This window comes from Homo sapiens, chromosome 20 (genome assembly GCF_000001405.40).
Source record: "Homo sapiens chromosome 20, GRCh38.p14 Primary Assembly".
Lineage (NCBI taxonomy): Eukaryota > Metazoa > Chordata > Mammalia > Primates > Hominidae > Homo > Homo sapiens.
Genome location: NC_000020.11, coordinates 1,001,897 through 1,022,650, shown reverse-complemented (window position 1 = coordinate 1,022,650; position 20,754 = coordinate 1,001,897). Strand labels below are relative to the sequence as shown.

The following is a 20,754-nucleotide window of genomic DNA, read 5'->3' as shown; positions in this document are numbered from 1 at the left end:
CTACATCCTGACACATGAAGATGGAGACCCTCCCCTATAGCCCCAGCAGAAAAACAGGGCCCCACTTGGAAAGCTCTCCCCTGGTAGGCAAAGTGACAGACATCTTGATTGACAACTCCATCCTGTCTCTCGGAGTCAGGGAGGAGTTCCCCAGAGACAGGAACATGGGAAAGTGTGGAGGACAGACACACTCTTCAGTGACCAGTGCCTATTGTCCCAGGGAAACAAAAGACTCCCAATCAGCAGGGGAAAGAGATGCTCCTCCCAAGCACAAATCAGCCAGTGAGTGACTTTGGTCTTTCTTCAACAGAAACTCATCTTCTTCCCTCCTGCTCTTGAGCTCTTGGTGGCTTTCAGGGATAAACTACCACCATCGCCTTCAATAACAGCATCTTTCAACTCATTCTGCCTCCACATCCTGCCTTTTGCTGTTTCCTGTCCCCTTCCTATCACCTAGCCAAATGCTAGCATCTCTTCTTCAGGGATCCTTGCTTGAATAACCCAACCAGGAATGTCTTTCTCTTCTGAACTTCATACCCCATCCAAATACATTTTTTAAAACTAACAATGACTATGTGCTTGGCTTTACTGGAAAAGACAAAAAAAAAAAAGTCTCAGAAGGTGCATCAGATTTGACCGGAAATACCATTTCAGAGGATTGGCTGAGTAGTTTCTGGGAGGCTGTTTTCATGCTAGAGAAAGCAAACAACATACCTATCATGGTCCCCAAGGTTGTTTAGAAGACCAAATAAGAAAATAAATGGGAAGAGAAGGCAGTTAATATTTATTAAACACCTATTATGTACTAACACTGGCAAGCTTGTTATGTACATAATCTAGTTGAGACCTTCCCCAAACCTTGCCAGGTAAATATCAATTTAAAGACAAGAAAACTGATGTTCAGAGAGGTGAAGTGGCTCACCCAAGATCACACAGCCAGAGACTTGAAGAACTGGGATTTGAATTATCCAGCTGTCCTGTTCTCTTTCCACTCATTCCCTAATAAACACCCCCCATTATTAAATGATGACTCACACTACAGAAATGTCTCCTAATTAAATTTGAAAATAGGAAAAGCATTTGGAATTACTCTGAGGAGGCTAGCCTTAGCAGAATTACTTCCATACCAAGAATTTGTTCCCCAGCTATGTAGCAGCTGGATTTTTTTTTCATTTTTTGATGTTCCCAATGAGTGGAATGTAAGAAGCACAGAAGATGACCAGTTTCCACACTTCACTTCCTTCCCAGGCTGCCTCAAACCCTTTGTCCAACAGGGACATATAAATCAATTGATCAATCAAGAAACGAATCAATGAATTAATAAGTCCCCACTTTTGCAAGATATGCTTGTTTGGGGGCATTTATTGACCCACGGTGGACACACCAAAGTCCTAGGCTTTGTCTCCCAAAACACGGTGACAGTCAGTGGGGAAAGCTGGTTTGTCTTATAGCCAACAGTCCAAGAACACATCTGTTGCCAGGCTCCACGTCAAGCCACTGAAATTGTATGGGCGCTTTTCTCTTTCCTACCATATAGAGTTGTAGTAAAATAAGCTGGGTTTGAATATCCTGGCTTCATCCTCTCTGTGATCTGAAAGGCATTCCTTCACTGAGCCTCTGTTTCCTCACAAGTAGAAAGATGGGCTGTGCTGGGTGATTGTGAAGCTGGCCTCCAAAACTGGCCCTGAGTGAATCTGCAACTGCCTCTCACTCTGAGTCTGGTGCCTAGTAGGTACTCAAACAAATAATTTCTTGGGAGGTTGAATCTGAGTGGAGTGAAACGTTAGACTATGGGACTTGAGAGTTGGGCAAATCTGGTGCCACCTCTCAGCCATGTGACCTCAAGCACACACCACATGACCTCTCTGGGCCTCCGCTTACTCTTCAGCAAAAGGGAGCTGCTGATGGCACCTTCAGAGGGTGGTGAAGCTGAACCGGCTAAGGTATGTGAATGGTGCTCACTGACGGTTCGCCCCTTCCTTTCTTTACCTAAGGAAGGACAGGCTTATCACCTATAGAAGCTGAGGCATGGATCTCAGCTGTTTAACCCACAAGTTTTCACAGGTGTAATTGAAAACTGTTGCCAGGGTTGGGTGGCTGATGAAGGAGAGATCGGCAAGTATTGATGTCCAGAGCTCTGTGCCCCTTTTCTGGCAGACGAGCAATCACTCTACTACTGGGGAGACACTGTTGGCCAACTCACTTGAAATAAAGTCTGGTTACTCACAGTGACTGACAAAGCCTGCCATGATCAAGCCCGAGCTGGCTTGGGTTTCCTCCCTCATTCTGCTTCATCCATAATGACCTTTTTGTTGATTCTTAATCCCATCAAGCTGTTTCTATTCCTACCACTGGGCCTTTGTACAACTGTTCTCTCTGCCTGAAATTCTCTTCTCCCAAGTTGTCAGGGAGCTCACTTCCTTCAGGCTTCTGCTCAAATGTCCCGTTTCAGAGACGACCTCCCTGACTACCATCCTGCCTTAGTTACTCCTGACATCACTCCCCTGCTTTATTTTTTCTTTGCAGTACCTCACGTAAACTACGTATTTATTTGTCTGTTGCTGCCATTCACAGCCAAAATGTGAGCTCCATGAAGCAAGACTTTGTCTAGCTCAAAGTCATATCTCAGTGCCTGGAATAGTGATTGGTGGTTAGTAGGCTCTCAGCAACTGTCAAATAAATGGGTGGAGGGTGGATGGTGGATGGGAGGATGGGAGGATGAGTGAATGAAAGAAAGGGTGAGTGGTGGATAGGTGGGTAGATGGTGGATGGTTGGGACAGTGGATGATTGGATGGGAGGGTGGGTGGAGGGTGGATGGTGGATGGGAGGATGGGAGGATGAGTGAATGAAAGAAAGGGTGAGTGGTGGATAGATGGGTAGATGGTGGATGGTTGGGACAGTGGATGATTGGATGGGAGGGTGGGTGGATGGTTGAATGGATGGATAGGAGGGTGGGGGTGAATAGCAGATGGGAAAATGAGTAGGTGATAGACAGTAGATGGATGGATGGGAGGGTGGGTGAATATGTGGATGGGTAAATGAATGGATGGGAAGGTCTGTGGGTGGTGGATTGGAGGGTTGATGGATGGGAGGATGGGTGAATGGAAATGTGGTTGGATGGTAGATGGGAGTGTAGGTACGTGGTGGATGGTAGATGGATGGAAGGTGGGTGAATGGGTGAATGCATGAATGGGAAGGTGGGTGGATGGGAGTATGGGTGTATGATGCGTGAGAGGATGGGTCAGTGGGTAGAGCAGAAAGAGCACTGGGTTCTTGTTCCAGTTCTCTCCCACCTGCTGTGTGACCTGAGCTGAGTTACTCATGCTCTCACCTACTGTTCCCGTATCTGCAAAACACACAAAATTAATTCTGCCTCATGGAGCTGCTGTGAAAACAAATAATAAGATGAACTTTTTCTTTGGTTATTCCTGGATTGTTCACTATTTGATTAGAAGAAGAGCTTTCCATTGGACCATCTTGGGGCCATGTTAGCCATGCATTCTATAATGCTGAACATCTTTGCTTCCCTTATAAGCATGCGGACTGACTGCTCTTTGCATCATGGTTCTAGCAAGTATTATGTACCAAGTGTGAAAACAAGCAAATTACAATGCAATGTCCTTTAACCCCCTCTAGCAATCCTGAGATGAGGAGGCTGAGGCCAAAGGAAAGACTAAGACCTGCCCATGGACACATGTTGGCAAAGACCAAGCAGGAACTCGAGCCAGTTTACCTGAAACCAAGGTCCAGGCATTTGTGAAGGTAGAAGGCTGAATAAATGAAATTGTATAATTATATTAATTCTATTGATTGATTAGCAGCAGGGCTTGATCAGGAGGTATCATCTGCAGTACTTTGGGATGCATTTGGGGCCTTCCTATGGCTCTGGGGTCATTTTTTGCATATCCATCTTCTGAGAGGATGGGCAGAGGAGAGCTGAAAGTGAATCAGGTGGAAAAAATCAAGGAATATCAGCAGAAAGCATCACCTCCCCTGACTTTGTCTCTAGATGGGAGCCCAGACGGCCAGAGGTAAGACCGAAGCAGTGGGGCTGGAAAAGAGTGGGGGTGGATGGCAAAGATATTGGGAAGGAATTGGACAGTACCATTGACTCACTTGATAGAGGGTCTGAAAGAAGGTGGACCCCACCTGTGGAGCAGGTAACTGGAGGGAGAGTAGGACCATATCCCTGGCAAAGGGACATCTGAGTCAAATCACAATGATCCTGGATCCCCAGCCACAGATCATTTGCTGGGACCCCGTGGTGCTCAGAAGGACAGCCCAGTGGTTAGGAGCGGGGCTTTGGAGGCAGAGGAACCTGAGCTCCAGTCCTAGGTCTGTCCTTGCCTTAGGGAAATAACTTCCTCTCTCTGAGCTCTGGTTTCCTCAGCTGAGAAATGTAGGTAATAATCATAGCTGTCCTTTAAGGATGTTTATGAGGATTAAATGAGGCTGTGTGTGAGGTGCCTAGCATGGAAGTCTTCACTGGGGAAACCAGCTGCTGTGTTATGATGAGACTCAGACAGCCCTGCGGACTGCAACCTCCTGAGACACCCTCAGCCAGAACCACCCAGCTAAACCACTCCCAAATTTCTGGCCTTCAGAAACTGTGTGAAATAATAAACAAGTATTAGTGTTTCAAGCCAGGGCCAGGGAACTTCTATAAGGGTCCAAACAGTAAATATTTTAGTGTTTGTGGTCCACGTGGTCTCTTTCACAATTACTCGTACATTGTAGTGTAAAGGCCATAGGTGATACATGAAGAAATATAGTTGTGTTTCAATAAAACTTTATTTATAAAAACAGATGGTGGGCCAGAGTCAGTCTCTTGTCCACCCCCTGTTTTAAGCTAAGAAAATAAATGATTCACTCATTTCTCATAGTGAATTAAAATCATCCCTTTCCTCGTAGAGTTGATGGTCTTGCCTGGAATGCCCAACCCCATGTCCTGGACGTCTTTCGACTGGACTGCCCAGACCTCAGAGCAGGGTCTGTGTTGACTCACCTCATGTCTCCAGCTCTCCCAGCTCTCAGGGCCTTGCACAGAGAAAATGCTAACTTAACCTTGGTTTGCTGAAGGAACAAACCAGGTAAGACCCAAGGCACTATTTGTGCCACATGTGGGGAGCAGATTCTTGGGGCTGTGGGGAACACTCGAAGGATTAATGTGGTCTGAAAGGCTTCCCGGAGGAAGTGAACTTGAGCTGAGTCTTGAAGGATAGGTGCAACTCAGACAAGCATTAAGCAAAGTGATGAATATTTCAGGCAGGAGGGAAGAGCATGAGCAAAGCATGGAAGGGTAGACACATGGTGGAGTCAGCAGGTTGACCTTGAATGCCAGGTAAGGGGTATAGATGTCATCCTGGAGACCAGTGCTTCTCAAACAGAGGTAAAGTGGCTTCATAGATGGACTTTAGAGAGAAGGGCTGTGACTTCCATAAAATTATGTGGCCCAGAGACAATGAAGACACTGCAGTAAACCACTGAAGCCACTGATGCATAATAAGTGAATTGCTAATATGGGCAACGGGAGCTCAGCCCCATTGAGGTCCTCTTGAGACAGTGAAGAGCACACCTCAGGTCTCCCAACTCAGGGCAGGGGGCTGGTATTTATCCACCACCTCCCATCGGTCATTGGCTGAGGGCTGCTTGGGGACTCTCTCTTAGTTCTCCAGCACCTTGGCTTCAGACAGTTGCAGATGTTTGCAGAAGACTCCTTGGACATGGAAAGGTGAGTGCTGAGAGGACATGGGCAGGACAATGACCAGGTGGGGTGACACAATGCAGTATGTGAGGACTAGCAATTGAGCAACTGTATGTGCATTGGGGTGGGGAAGGGTGGGGAAGTGGGGAAGGAGGCTGGGGCCAGGGGAAGAGAGGAGGGGCCTGAGAGGAAGGCCTGGCTCACAGACCCAGCGGGTAGGTGGTTGGGCCCTTTCCAGAGTTGGAAGCCTGCAGGGGAAGAGGCTGAGTTCTATTTTAGACACCCTGGGTTTGAGATGTCCACAGGACTTCAAGTGGAGGTGTCCAGCCAGGTAGATGAAGTGTGGCAACATGTCAGAGCTGGGAAAAGGATTTGGGAGAGCTGGCTGGATGTGGTATCTCATGCCTGTAATCCCAGCACTTTGGGAAGCTGAGGCGAGTGGATCACCTGAGGTTAGGAGTTAGAGACCAGCCTGGCCAACATGATGAAACCCTGTCTCTACTAAAAATACAGTAATTAGCTGAGCAGGGTGGTGTGCGCCTGTAATCCCAGCTACTTGGGAGGCTGAGGCAGAAGAATCACTTGAACCCAAGAGGTGGAGGTTTCAGTGAGCCGAGATCATGCTATTGCACTCCAGTCTGGGCAACAAGAGTGAAACTCAGTCTCAAAATAAATACATACATAAATAAATAAAAATTTAAAAAAGAATTTGGGAAAGCTGCAGAGATGAGGAGAGAACAGAGCCAAAAATGGACTCAAGAAAGAAGCAACAAAAGGGAAGTTAAGCAAAAAAGGAGAAAAGAGTGCAGGCGGGGCCATGGGAGGGGCCACATTTCTGAGCTGACGTGCTGAAGAGCTTAGCACTCAGTAAGAGCTAGGCACTCCCAGTAGTATTATTGATTGTATTATCACTGCCTTCAGATGTGCTCATATGGGCTTACTTAAATGCATGGTATGTCATGGCTGCAAATAAAAATTTGTTTCAATTAGTTAGTGGACATTCTTCACACCATTTTACAGATGAGATCATTGAGGCTGAGAAAGGGGAAGCATCTTCATTTCTGTCCTGCCTGATTGCAGAGCCCACATTCTTTGATTCCAGCAGGTGGTCAAATGTCACAGAGAGTGTCAGGAGGGATGTTGACAGGACAGAGGCCCACAGGGAGGTTGGAGAGAAAAAGTGGATCTCATGACAGAGAGGGACTGGTCCTCGCTGAGTGAGCTACAGAACAGAGCAGGAAGTTGGGGAGAGGCCAGGCTTCCAGAGGGGATGGAGAGAAGAGTGGGACAGCAGCTGCCACATTTGTAGGCAGAACTTCCAAGACAGTCTATGATGAGAGGGAGAAATGGAGTGAAGGAGGGCTGGAGACACTGTAGGAGATACAGGGCAGAAACGGGGGAAAGGAGGGAATTACCAGAGGGTGTGGGAACCCAGAAGTGGAATCAGGCTCATTCAGGACCATCTTTTTTTCCATCACACACAGCCATCTTTCCCTCCATCACACACAGGAAGGACCAAATAACAGACATGCAGAAACAGGGAAGTGGGGGCTGGTGGTTTCCTGCTGATGCTTATGGCAAGGATCATCAGTCATCCCCCACACTCTGTCTCCCTTTCTCTTGAATAATATTCTCTTTATTTTTATCTGAGCACATGGGTGGCCTGCAGAATATTACATTTCCCAGCCTCCCTTGCAGCTGGACATGGCCATGTGGCTGTGGGCTGACCAGTCCCATTCACTGGAATATGATGTGTTTGGAACTCTCTTGGGCCATCCCCTAGAAGCCATGGAGACATTCCACCAAGCTGTATAGCTTACACCTGGGCTGCCCTGGGAGGCAAATGCAGCCGCACTTTATTTTATTTATTTATTTATTTATTTATTTATTTATTTATTTATTTGAGATAGAGTTTCACTCTTGTCACCCAGGCTGGAGGGCAGCGGCATGATCGCGGCTCACTGCAACCTCTGCCTTCTAGGTTCAAGCGATTCTCCTGCCTCAGTCTCCCGTGTAGCTGGGATCACAGGCGTGCCCCACCACGCCTAGCTAATGTTTTTGTAGTTTTAGTGGAGACGGGGTTTCACCATGTTGGCCAGGGTGGTCTTGAACTCCTGACCTCAAGTGATCTGCCCACCTTGGTAGGTCCCTGTTCTTACACAGAATCCACCCACCCAAGTGAGTGTGCCCTCCCACTCTCCCTGCAGCCGGTTACTCCTCTTCCTTTGTGGCATTTTCCACAACTGGTTCATCCCTCCAGCCCCTGTCCAACCAGACGGTCAACTGCAGCAGGGCAAGAACATAGCCGATCTCACAGCTCAACACCCGCAGCCAGCCAGATGCCCAGTGTGTGCAGACAAGTTCTCTGCTTTGGGGGGCTCAATCGTCATCACAACAAACAAACAAGGCTAGTTCAGATCATGGGAAACAGTTCAAAGGAGAGGAAGCAAAGCTAAGAGGGCTAAGCCAAGCGTAGTGGTGAAGGATGGGAGTTTCCATCGCATGGTCAGGGAAGGCCTCTTTGAGGAGGTGACATTTGAACTGAAGCCTGGAATGAGCTAACCATGGGAGACTGGGAGTGTTCCATCCAGAGGAGACAGCAAGTGCAAAGGCCCTGAGAAGGTGATAAGTAGATGTGTTTGAAAAATGGGAAGGTGACCAGTGTGGCTTGGGGCAGAGATGTAGAGAAACGGTTAGGTGGGCTGCCTGTGGGCCTTGCAGGGGTGCTGTTTAGCCTGAGAACAGCAGGCAGCCATGGTCAGGTTTTCCTTAAAACCCAACCCCTTTGGCTCCTTGGGAGGGAGGAGGGGTAGACTGCAAGGGCAAAACAAGAGGACAGCTTGGGGGGCCTTTACACGAGTACAAACAGAGATGCAGGAGGCTGCGGCAGACCTGGCAGTCACAGAGGCAAGGGTTGGAGAGCTATTTTGCAGGTAGAATGGACTAGGCTTGGCAGTTATCTTGGCAGACCTGGAAACAAGAATTCCCGTCCAAATAGATTCCCTGGAAGCCAGTCCCAAAGAAGCAAGCACAGGTGTGATAAGGATCAAGTTGGCAACTGGGCATCCCTCCCACTGGGAACTCTGGCAACAGAACTGTCCCACCCAAGGGGCGAGGGGACTGAAATGTTTTTCCACCAACTCCCATCCTCATCCACTCAGGGGTGCTCCTGGGGGGCATTAACTCATCAGCACTCAGCCTGCCCCCGAGTCAGCAAGCACCTGGATGGTGAATGCAATCCTGGTGTGGGCAGGGCACCCACTGAGGGAATGAGAGGAGAGCCACGAGCCAGGGACCTGGGCCTGGATAACTTTGCCCAGGACATCCCAGGAGCTGAATGATCAGAAGTTTCAAGGGGCTGCAGGGAGGCAGTGAGGACCCCTAGATGGGGACTGGTCCTAGGAATAAGGGGCTGAGGAAGGCCAGAAGGTGGGTGCCCACCACTTCTTCCTCAGTCTGATTTTGGCTGAGCCCTCCAGGAAGGAGGTGGCTGAGGACTTCGTGGGCCAGGGGGAGGCCATGGATGCTGAGGGCTGGGAGTTCTTGGGCCCAGAGGCAGAGGCCAGGGAAGACAGCAGGGAACTCAAGGAGCAGGGGGAGCTGGAGGCAGCCAGATCTGTGTCCTTTCAGAGTGACCTGGAGCAAGTCACTGAACCTCTCTGGGACCTCTATTTTCCCCACCTGTGAAATGGGTTCTTGTAAGAATTAAGGGAGAGAGCATGAAGGACCCAGAACTCCAGCCTTTCTAATGCCAGGGTCTGATCTCATCCCTTCCCTGTCTAATGTCACTCGGTGGTTGCCTGTGGCTTGTGAAGGTTGGAACACCTCCCCCAGCCTTCTCCCGTTCCAGTAAGCAGGGCTTGCAGGGCCCCTGCCCACCAGTCCTGGCCCTGCATCCCCCTCCCCACCCACCTCTGCTTCTCTTCTCAGTGCTTCTCAAAAGTGGCAGCTCCTGCTTCCTCTCCTTTACCCCTCTGCTCGCCTCTCCTTCCCATCTCCTTGGGAATACATGCAGGCGAGTCACTGTGCTCCCACTCCTGCCCTGCTTCCCTCCTACACATACCCTTGCTCCCTCCACTCCCTCCCTCCCTCTGCCTCCCTCGTTAGCCCATGGAGAGGCCTCTGGGCCTCTGCATTTACTGCCCCTCCACCTGGAATGCCCTCCCCAGACCTCCACAGGACTCGTTCCCCCACTTTATCCAAATCTCTGCTCACCTTGCAGAGAAGCCTCCCCTGACCATGTCTGTCATTCTCTATCCCCTCCCCTGGCTTTGGTTTTCATCGCGGCACTCACCATCACCACCATCATGTTATCTAAGTGTGTGTGTCTTCATTGTTCCTGTCTCCCCGGCTAGGCTGCAAGCTCCAGGAAGGCCAGATGTGGACCTGTGGTGGTGGTGGCTGAATCCTCAGCCTTGGGCCAGTGCTCAGTAGATACTTGTTGAATGAATGAATGTTTAACTCCTGTGAACCCTTCTCTGGCCTTGCCCCTAGGCTCCCACAGCTCCTCCCCTGTGCCTGGATTTTAGAACTTACTTGACCTTGTCATCATTGCCTTCTTTCCTTCTCAGTCTCCCACCAGGCGATGAGGGCCTTGATAGAAGCTACTGTGTCTTCGGTTCTCACTGCTCTCTGGCACACAGTTAGTGCTTAGTAATGAAAAAAGAATCAATCAATTCACAACCTGCAAGTAGTAGGTATGCATGAAATATTTTTGAGCAGATAGTAGTAGCTGACACTTGGCACTGACTATGCACTAGGCACAGTTCTAAGTGCTTTGCATGCAGTCATGCATTCGATCCTCACAACAACTCAGTTACTATCCCCATTTTATGGATGAGAAAACCAAAGGTCAGAGAGGCTCAGCAACTTGCCGGAGGTCACATAAGTAGTAAGTGGCACAACTGGGGCTTGAATCCAGGTTGTCTGACTCAGGCTTCCCTGTACCACCAGGTTCTACAGCCTCTGGGCTGGCAAACCATGAATACAAATAATAATGATGGCATCAACTACTATTACTTGTACACCTCAGTGTCAGGCCTTGTGCTGGGTGCTTTGCAGCCACCTTGTCTTTTAATTTCAAGAGTCCTCCTTGGGCAGGTGTTATTGAATCCATTTCACAGATGAAAAAAGTGAGGCCCAGAATTAAGGGCACACAGAGAAAAATAGGCTCCGGGTCCTAACTCCCTCCAGAGTGGGACATTTAGAGGCCTGACCTTGGCTTTTCTCATCCACTGTCCTGGGTCCAGCTCCCAATCCCTATCTCCCCCAGCCCATTACCACCTTTGTGTAGACTGAGACCCAAGGCTGGCCCCCACCCTGCTGTCCCCCAGCCCACCAGAGAACTGCTGTCCCTTCATTATGAAAAATCTCTCTTTGTCCTTCCCTTCTCTTCCCCAGCCAATTACCAAGAAATTAACTTGATTGTGAACATATTTTGAAAATATTTTCACTGTTGTTTTTAAAATTTTTCCTTTGTTTGAAATAGTGTTACAACTTCAACCACAGGAAGAAGAAAAACCCTATCCCAGCTGACCAAAGCTGTGAATATAAAACCAGAAATGACTGTATTAAATAATCAAAACCGAAAACCACCTAAACAATAGAACTCCTCAGAGTTCTGGCGTCAGGAGGACTGGGGTCTTTGAGGCTGTCCCAGCTGGGGTGGAGTTGGAGGAAGTTGCAAACACAGGAGATGAGATGAGGGTCTTGCTTCCTGTGGTGGATTGTAAATTCTGCTCTGGTGCCTGGGCCTTCTCCAAAGGGTGCTGAGCACTTTCTTCCCTACTCTGTTTTTCAGGTAGATGGACCAAAGCCTGGGGAAGATGGGCAATTGGATTTATACAAAAGATTCAAGATGGGGTTAGAGATGGAGTTCCAAGTTAGAGGCTCCCACTGGGGGCTCAGTCTGGGGCCAGAGTTAGGGCACAGTGTGGAATCACGATCATGAGTCAATATGGGACCTGGATTAGGACTCAGCCTATAACAAAGATCAGGAATCAGTCTGAGGCTGGAGTCAGGGCCTAGTGTGAAGCGAGATTCAGAGTTCTGACTCAAACCGATACTGAGGCTTAATCTGGGCTTCAGTCTGTGGTCAAGCATGGGGTCAGAGCCCCACCTGAGACCAGGGTTATGTTGTGGTCTAGGATGAGGTTCAAGCTTCAGTGTGCGATGCAGGATCAGGAGGGCTCTGACCTGCTTTCAGTGTGTGACAAGAATCAAGATGCGTCCCGGATCCTCAAGCTACAGAAATGGGGTCCTGGCTCTACCCCTTCTTGAGATCATGAGCAAGTCAATTCACCTACTGGGCCTCAGTTTCCTCTTCTGTAAACTAGGGGTAATGGGGATAATCACAACCTCTGTCCTAACTCCTTCCATGGCTTAAATGTTGATCCAAATGAGATAGCAGATGTAGCAAGCTTTGCAAACTGCAGAGTGTTGGACAGGCATTTATGTAAACACCCTGAAGGAAACTCCAGAGAAAGCTTATTGTGGGAAAATCAAAATGTCACTAGGCCTCCTGCTGTAGCTTCCATCCTAGTTTTTCTTCCTCCTGGACGACTAATAATAGCTAACAGTTATACAGCATGGTCTTGTGCCATGTCCTAAGAACTTCATGTATATTTAACTAATTTAATCCACAAACAATCCTATGAAGTAGGTACTACTATTATCAGCATTATCAGTTGGGGAAACTGAGGCAGAGATAGATTAAGTAACTTGCTTGAAGTCACACTGAATAAGTGGAAATCTCTGATTCAAATCCAGGCAGTTTGGCTCCCAAGTCTATGCTGAGTGTAGGAGCTGGGGGATGAGGGATGAGTCTGGGGGATTCTTCATGGAGCAGACAGATACGGTTGAGAAGTACAAGTCAGCCCCAAAGACCTAGGGGTGACTTGTGGCCCCCAGCAGCCTGCCTTTGCCCAGGAGGCCAAATCTCCCGGCAGACCCCACTGCCACATGGGGACATAAAAGTTTGGGATTGGCGGGTGGCATCAGGCATCTCTTTAAACTTGTTTGTTTATGGAAAGAAATTTCAGGCCAGCTGCTGAAAACCTGTATTTTATGGGTAATTTTTCAATTTATTTCACACTGGTATTATAAAAAACAACAACCCAACTGACTGTGGAGGCTGGGATTCCACTGGGGTTGGTGAGGGAGGGGCGCTGGCTTGAAGCAGCTCCTTTGTCTGCCTGAGCATCCTACAGGGAGAAGGCTGTTTGCCTTCCCTTGGGAAAGAACAGGTAAAACAAAGAACAAAGGTGGGTTTGCAGAGATTTTGATTTAAGAGGAGAACAAGAAGAAGTCCAGAGGAAGAGGGTGAGGGGTTCGATGCCTCTGTCTTATACATAACAAAACTGAGGCACCAATCATGAAAGTTACCAGTGAGAACTTACTCTGGGTTAGGTGCTGTTCCATGTTTTACCTGTAATACCTTATAGGTTGTCATGAGAATTAGTAAGAATTAGTCTTGGTTTGGGGTTGCCAGAAGCCAACCCTGAGACAAGGATTTGAGTTCAAGAAATTGATTTGAGAATTGATCCCAAGAAGCATAGCATGGAGCATAAGGAGTGAAACAGGAAGGGCAGGCAGCCCATGAAGGACAGGTTACCCAGACAGCACCGTGGGCAACTGAAGCTCAGTCCCTCTGAAGTCAGCATGGCAGGGCTGGGGAATTGTGGCAGGAGACAGCGTGGCATGTTTTATGTGTCCGGCCATCCTGCCCATTCAATAGAGAGTTGGGGTATTTGTCCATCACTGAACTTCTCCACTGTACTAATGAGTCCATTAGCAAAGTTTTTTCCCCCAGTTATGGTATTTTTCATTTCTAAAATTTCTGTTTGATCCTTTTATATAACTTCCATTTCTTTGCTGAGATTTTCTGTTTTCATTTGTTTCAAGAGATTTCATAATTCCTTGCCAAAGCATTTTTATGATGACTGCTTTAAAATCCTTGTCAGACAATTTCAACATCTGAGTCATTTTAGTATTAGCATCAGTTGGAACTTCAGGTCTTATTTCATACTTTAGTTTAGCAGGCAGCAGTTTCCCTGTTTAAATGTAGCATGTGAGTTCTCGTTTACTTTTGTGGGCTTTAGGTCCAATGACAGTAAACTTGTTGGAACCCTTGCAATTATTTATTTATTTTTTTTTTTTGAGAGGAGTCTTGCTCTTGTCACCCAGACTGGAGTGCAATGGCACGATCTTGGCTCACTGCAACCTCTGCCTCCAGGGCTCAAGTGATTCTCCTGCCTCAGCCTCCCAAGTAGCTGGGATTACTGGCATGCACCACCACACGTGGCTAATTTTTGTATTTTTAATAGAGATGGGGTTTCACCATGTTGGCCAGGCTGGTCTCGAACTCCTGACCTCAAGTGATCCGCCCACCTCAGCCTCCCAAAATGCTGGGATTACAGGCATAGGCCACCGCACTTGGCCTGGAACCCTTGCAATTCTATTCTAGTAAGCCTTGTTCTTCTGGTGCTACTGGGGCTGGCATTACCCTGCTACCAAAACCAGACAAAGACAGAACAAAAAAGAGAAATATAGACCAATATTCTTAATGGATTTAGACACAAAAATCCTCAGCAAAATATTAGTAGGTAGAATTCAGCAGTATATAATGGAGAATGGTACACCATGGCCAAGTGGGGCTTATTCCATTGAAGAAAGGTTGGTTTTATACTTAAAAATCAATCAATGTAATACATCGTATCAGTAGACTAAAGAATAAACATTAAATGATTATACCAATGTGCAGGAAAAACATTTGACAAAATTCAACAGCCATTCATAATTTTAAAAAATGCTCAGAAAAGTAGCAATAGAGAGGATCTTCCTCAAGGTGATATAGAGTGTCTACAAAAGTCCTACAGTCTAATGTCATAGTGAATGACTGAATGCTTTCCCACTAAGATTGGGAACCAGGCAAGATTGAGAACAAGGATGTCTATGCTCATCACACTTACTCGGCATATGGCTGGAAGTTCTAGCAAGTTTGATAAAGCAGGTAAAGGAAACAAAAGGCACAAGATCAGAAGGAAAGAAAACTGTCGCTATTTGCAGTTGATATGATTGTCAATGTTGCAAAACCCAAAAAAATCTACAAAAATACTCCTAGAACTAATATATGAGTTCAGCAAGGTGCTAGGATACAAGATCAACACACGAACATCAGTTGTATTTCTATCTGCTAGCAATGAACACACGGACAGCAAAATTTAAAATAGAATACCATGTATAATTTCTAAGGGAGAAAAAAGGAAATAGGTATAAATCTAACAAAACATGCACAGGAGTTGTATGCTGAAAATGACAAAACATTTATTTAAAAAAGTCAAAGAAGATCTAAACAAATGGAGAGACATACTATGTTTTTGGATTGAAAGACTCAATATAGTAAAGATGTGAATTCTTCCCAAATTCATATACATGTTTAATGCAATTCTAATCAAACTCACAGCAAGATTCTTGGTAGATATAAACAAGATTATTCTAAAATATATATGAAAAGGCAGAGGAACTAGAATAGCTAAAATAATTTTGAAAAAGAAGAATAAAGTGGGAAGGATCCATCTACCCAATTTCAAGATTTATTATATAGTTACAGTAATCAGTACAGTGTAGTATTGGTAGACAGAAAGACACATAGCCCATGGAATACAGGAGACAGCCCCAAAATAAATCCATGCCAATATGCCCAATTAATTTTTGATAAAGCTTTTACATCAAAGCATACTGGAGCAATTGGACATCCGCAGACGAAAAATAAAAAATGAACCTCGAAATAAACAAAAATTAAAAACGAACATAAAAATAAACAAACAAAAACATAAAAAAATAAACAAAAATACAAAATGAACCTTGACATAAATCTCACGCTTTGCAAATCACGTAACCAACAAAGAACTTCTATATAGAATATATACATAGAACTCTTAAAACACAATAGTAATGTAAAAATCCAATTTAAAATGTGTGAAAGATATGCACAGACATTTCACCAAAGAGGATACACAGAAACCTATACACAAGTGAGCATGGCACCTTTATTCTTAATAATGAAAAACTAGAAAATACCCAAATGTCCTTCAGTGGGTGAATGGTTAAACAAACTATATTACATTCATACGGTGGAATACTACTCAGCAGTAAAAAGCAAATAACTAATACATGCAAAACTAAAATGAATCTCCAAACAAATTGTGCTGAGTGAAGAAAGCCAAATCTCAAAAAGATGCATACTGCATGACTCCATTATACAATATTTATGTAAAAACAGTTATAGAGATGGGAGGCCAGGCGTGGTGATTCACACCTATAATCCCAGCACTTTGGGAAGCCGAGGTGGAAGAATCACTTGAGCCCAGGAGTTCAAGACCAGCCTGGGAAATATGGCGAAACCTCACCTCTGCAAAAAATAAAAAATTAGCCAGCCATGGTGGCATGCACCTGTAGTCCAGGCTACACAGCTGAGGCAGGAGAAGCTTTAGCCCAGGAGGTCAAGGCTGCAGTGAGCCATGATCGTGCCACTGCACTTCAGCCTGGGTGACACAGCAAGACCCTGTCTCAAAAAATAAAACATTACAGAGATGGAGAACAGATTAGCGGTTGCTAGGGATTAGGACTGGAAGTGGAGAGGGAGGGTGGAGCCATAAATGGATACCATGAAGGAGTCTTGTGATGATGTTTTAGTATCTTGTTTAAGTATGTTTAAATATCTTGATTGTGGTTGTATTATACAAGGCTACACACAGGTCAACGTTGCATCCTAGGAAGCCCCTCAATCCCTGGCAAACCAGACAGCTGGTCACCCTAGCAGATGGCCCCCTAGTAGGGGCCATCACGTAGCCCTTGCATCTCTGAGGAGAAATTTGGTCTTCACCCGATGAATAATACATGTCCTCTGGCTGCTTAAGAAGAGCTTGTAGGGGTCAGAGCAGACACAGGAAGGAGCTACTGCATGACTGGGGCAAGAAATGAGGGTGGCCCAACGTTGGTCAATGGGCCAGATGTTCACCAAATTCTTGCTTTTCCTCCTGTGTGTTGTCTGGCACATGGCTGGACTACATTTCCCAGTCACCCTTGCAGGTAGGTGTGGCCGTGTGTCTGAGTTCTGGCCAATGGGACATAGGTAGACAGGCTCTGTACTTCCCATAAGCCCTGCCCTTCTCGGTGAGCTTTAAACCAGGTACTGAACAGGGCAGAACACAAGCTGAAAGGAATCTGAGTTCCTGCTATCCCACAGAGAAGGATCTGCTGATCAGGAACACATGCTGTGAGCTTAGTGTGTTTCAGCCATTATACCTGTCTTCATCTATTTGTGACAATGGTGCCTTAACTGACACCCTTGGGTGCACCCCTCCCCGCCCCCCGCCAGAGCATGCCATCAGCATCACTAGCCTCCCTGGGCACCTGTATTGGGGTAGGGGAACTGGATAACAGGCCAAGATGCCCAGACAGCCCCCATAGTTAGAGAACCAAACACCCTCTGAGCATCTTGGGGTATGAAGGGCCCTGAGTTCTGGGCCTTAGAACCCTAGAAATATCCAATTCTGGAAGCACTAAAGGGGCTCTCACAGAACACAAAATCCCATCTGTGCCATTGAACAACTGGGGAAATTGAGCCTAAGAGAACAGAAAGTACTTGAGGTCCCACAATGAATCTATGGATGAATGAGTGCTTATTCATTCACTCATTTTTTAAAAAAATCCATTCCACAAGTATGTCTTAATCACTGCAGTGTAAGGCACATAGGGACAAAATAGAAGATTCCTGTCCTCATGGAACTCACAAACAAGCAAACAGGAACTGACAGACATGAACAGGTACTACGGAGGGTAAAGCAAGACAAGAGGATAAAGTGCATGGTGGTGCGTTTTACTGGAGTGGTCACAGGGGGCCTCTCTGAGGAGGCAACATCGAGGGGAGACAAGCCCCAAATCTGGGGAAAGACTTTCCAGGCAGAGAGAACAGCAAAAACCGCAGGATGAGTGACAAGAGTCTGAGAAACACGAGGCTAGCTAGAGCAGAGGCAGTGGGGAATAAATAGGGGAAAAAATTCAAGAAGGGGTAAGCAGCTTCATCCTGCAGAGCCGTGTGGCTGGCTGTCAATTCACAATGCACATTGGACCTCTCTGGCCCTGCTCACATGGAAGCTGTCCCCTTTGGACTTTGGAGACTCCAGTACTGGGGGTAGTGGGGAAGGGAATGACCTCCGCTTTCCTAAGGCTTGATCTTCTGGGGTCACCTCATTTCTCCAAGTACCTGCATTCCATGTACAGGCTGGGAGACTTGTGCATCTGGAGAATTCATTCATTCACCATTCATTTATTTATGCACTCATTATGCAAACATTCTGAGCACCGCTGTGTGTCTGGCTCTGGCTTGAAAGAGATGGCAGTTTGGAAGGAGAACAGACACATCCATTGTTACCACCTGATGTGATCAGAGCTGTGATAAAGAGATTGTGGATGCCCAGAGGAGGCACTGGACCTGGCCTGAGAATCAGGGAAGGCTTCCTGGAGCAGAGGCAGTGAAGAAGGAGGTAGGATATAGGATGGTATTCCATGGAGAGGCCCCACAACATGAAAAGCTCAGAGGTGTGAGAGGCCTGTGGTGTTTGTGAAATATTCAAGGGCTGAAATCTCTAAGGCTAAAGAGAGAGGGGTGGGGCAGTGGGAAAGACTGAGATCAGAGATATCAGAACAAGAGGTCCTTGCAGGCCATGGTGATGACCACAATGGGACACCTGGATGCCCATGTCAGCTCAGTCCTTGACTCACTGGGTGGCCTAATCTAGGCACCCCCCAGTCCTGAAGGCTCAGTGGCCTCATCTGTGAAATGGAGCACTTTGGGTGGGCTGTCTCTGACATTCCACCAAGTTCTCCGTGTTGTCTGCCAGCGTTCTTGGGGCCCCACAGAAAGAATGGCCAGGCCAGGGCTGTACCTTCAGCTGCCACACTCTCTGTGTGTTTCCCCTGCCCCTGCCATGCCTTCAAGTGTCCCTCATTGCACTGGGAGAAGGAGCTGGAGGAGATACCAGCATTTACCTTCCATTTCTTTTGGAGCAAGCTCCACATGTAGGAAAAAAGAGGACAGGCTGGGTGGGGTGGCTCACGTCTGTAGTCCCAGCACTTTGGGAGGCTGAGGCAGGTGGATCACTTGAGGTCAGGAGTTCAAGACCAGCCTGGCCAACATGGTGAAACCCCGTCTCTACTAAAAACTACAAAAATTAGCTGGGTGTGGTGGCAGGTGCCTGTAATCCCAGCTACTTGGGAGGCTGAGGCAGGAGAATCACTTGAACCCAGGAGGCAGAGGTTGCAGTGAGCCGAGATGGCGCCATTGCACTCCAGCCTGGGTGACAGAGTGAAAACCCATCTCAAAAAAAAGAAAAAAAAAAGAAAAGAAAAAGGAAGGACAATTGTTCAGCAAGAGAGTGTCAACTGTAAGTTTCTCTAGGCCTCCCTCCAAGGCCTCTTCCATTCTGATGAGTCTGTGCCTGAGAAGTGGCTAAGAGGGGCAGGCACTGGACCAGAATGGCCACTGACCTGCTGTGTGGCCTTGGGCAAGTCACTTGGCCTCTCTGAGCTTCCCTTTGCTCCCCAGAAAAGTGGAATTACTCAGAATACAAACCCAAACCATTGGGTTGTTTTGAAGACTCTAGTATATGTCAAGTTCTTAGCAATGCCCACCATATATGCCTCACAAATGATAGCTAGCATGATTGTTGTTGTTTTTGGTGGTTATAGTGACAGGAGAGGTGAGCATGCTGTCGGGTTGAAGGAGGAATTTTGCTCTGAAAGGGTTAAACTTGAACCAGCTGCTCCCAGTCCTGGTGATAAGGTTGGAGGAAACACAGTCCAGGTCCCCAGCCCTGTCACAAGTGGATTTATGAGGTGCTGGTCACTTTGAGTCGGAGTAGATGATCCCCGCAGACTGCACAGGAAACATTCAGGGTTAGTGGCCAGAAGGGGCTCAGGCCTCTGTTAAAAGAATGAGACAGAGTAGAGAGAAAAAGAGAAAGCCAGGCAGCAGGAGCCCCGCAAACACCCCACCCTGCAGGAGGGGAGAAGGGGAGAGATGGGGTTGAAGGGAGAGACAGAGAAAAGGGAGAACCAGAGGCCCAGCCAGGAGGACACAGACAGTGAGCCTGAGAGAGAGACGGCCGGCAAGAGTAAAGGATGCAGGAACAGCCAGGCAGGGTCGGGGGCAGAGCAGGGGAGCGCGGGCCGCGGAAAGACCGAGAAAGCAGGAGACAAGGAGTTGTCCTTAAGGGCCAGAAGGAGGAACAGACAGAGAAAGGGGACTGGGGGGAGGGAAAGAAAATCACAGGCGCTGAGAGGGCGCGGGGGACCGTACGGGTCTCCGGGTGTCCGCGCATCTGTACCTGCGCGCGCGTGCGTACCTGTGGCTGGCGGTGGGCACGTGCACGTGCTCGGGGGCAGTGCTGGGGGCGGGAAAGACGCAAGACCGCCGGCTGCGGGACAGATCGAACTCGAGGGCCCCGACCCGGGTGACCCCCGCCCCCTCCCCGCGCGCGCTCCCGGGCCCCGAGCTGGTTAACGCGCCGCCCCCGCCGCGCCGGCTCCTCCCCGCCAGGGCAGTGCCCCGGCTCCGCCAACGCCCTCACTAGACCTGGCGGCCGGACCGACCCGCGCCTGGCGGATGCGCCCGGCGCGCCCACAGCAGCCCCCGCGCCCGCCGTGCCGCCGCCGGGACGTGGGGCCCTTGGGCCGTCGGGCCGCCTGGGGAGCGCCAGCCCGGATCCGGCTGCCCAGATGCGGGCGCCACTCTGCCTGCTCCTGCTCGTCGCCCACGCCGTGGACATGCTCGCCCTGAACCGAAGGAAGAAGCAAGGTACAAGGGGTGGCTGGGCAGGGCGGCCGGGCAGGCGCTGCGGGGCAGACCGGGGGCCGGAGGACCGGGGGCGGCGGCTCTGGGGGCATCTGCCTGGTGCCTGGCGCCCTGGGTCCTTCGCTCCTCCAGACGAGTCTCAACCTCACTTAAGATGGGGAGATTGAGGCTCCAGGGCACCCAGTGAGCGAG

At 48.3% G+C, this 20,754-nt stretch overlaps 1 protein-coding gene across 3 annotated transcripts in view, besides 2 other annotated features; it reads left to right on the top strand.

The window, feature by feature from the left end:
* Positions 16,711–17,005: an enhancer, noted in NCBI's record as "tiled region #1111; HepG2 Activating DNase unmatched - State 4:PromP, and K562 Activating DNase unmatched - State 8:EnhW". NCBI's record gives its function as "activates a minimal TATA promoter and a strong SV40 promoter by Sharpr-MPRA in HepG2 and K562 cells {active_cell/tissue: HepG2 | K562}" and the evidence as "EXISTENCE:reporter gene assay evidence [ECO:0000049][PMID:27701403]".
* Positions 16,736–16,916: a silencer, noted in NCBI's record as "fragment chr20:986378-986558 (GRCh37/hg19 assembly coordinates)". NCBI's record gives its function as "represses an EF-1alpha promoter that drives an FKBP-Casp9 reporter gene in an ReSE screen in phorbol 12-myristate 13-acetate-treated (for megakaryocytic differentiation) K562 erythroleukemia cells {active_cell/tissue: K562(+PMA)}" and the evidence as "EXISTENCE:reporter gene assay evidence [ECO:0000049][PMID:32094911]".
* RSPO4 (R-spondin 4) overlaps positions 20,340–20,754 on the top strand; it is a 43,860-nt gene continuing 43,445 nt past the window's right edge. For all 3 annotated transcript variants that reach the window (NM_001040007.3, NM_001029871.4, XM_017027839.2), the window contains exon 1: positions 20,340–20,565. In NM_001040007.3, coding sequence (NP_001035096.1) covers positions 20,487–20,565 — 79 coding nt within the window. In that variant the 5' untranslated portion in view covers positions 20,340–20,486. The remainder of the gene's footprint in view (positions 20,566–20,754) is intronic.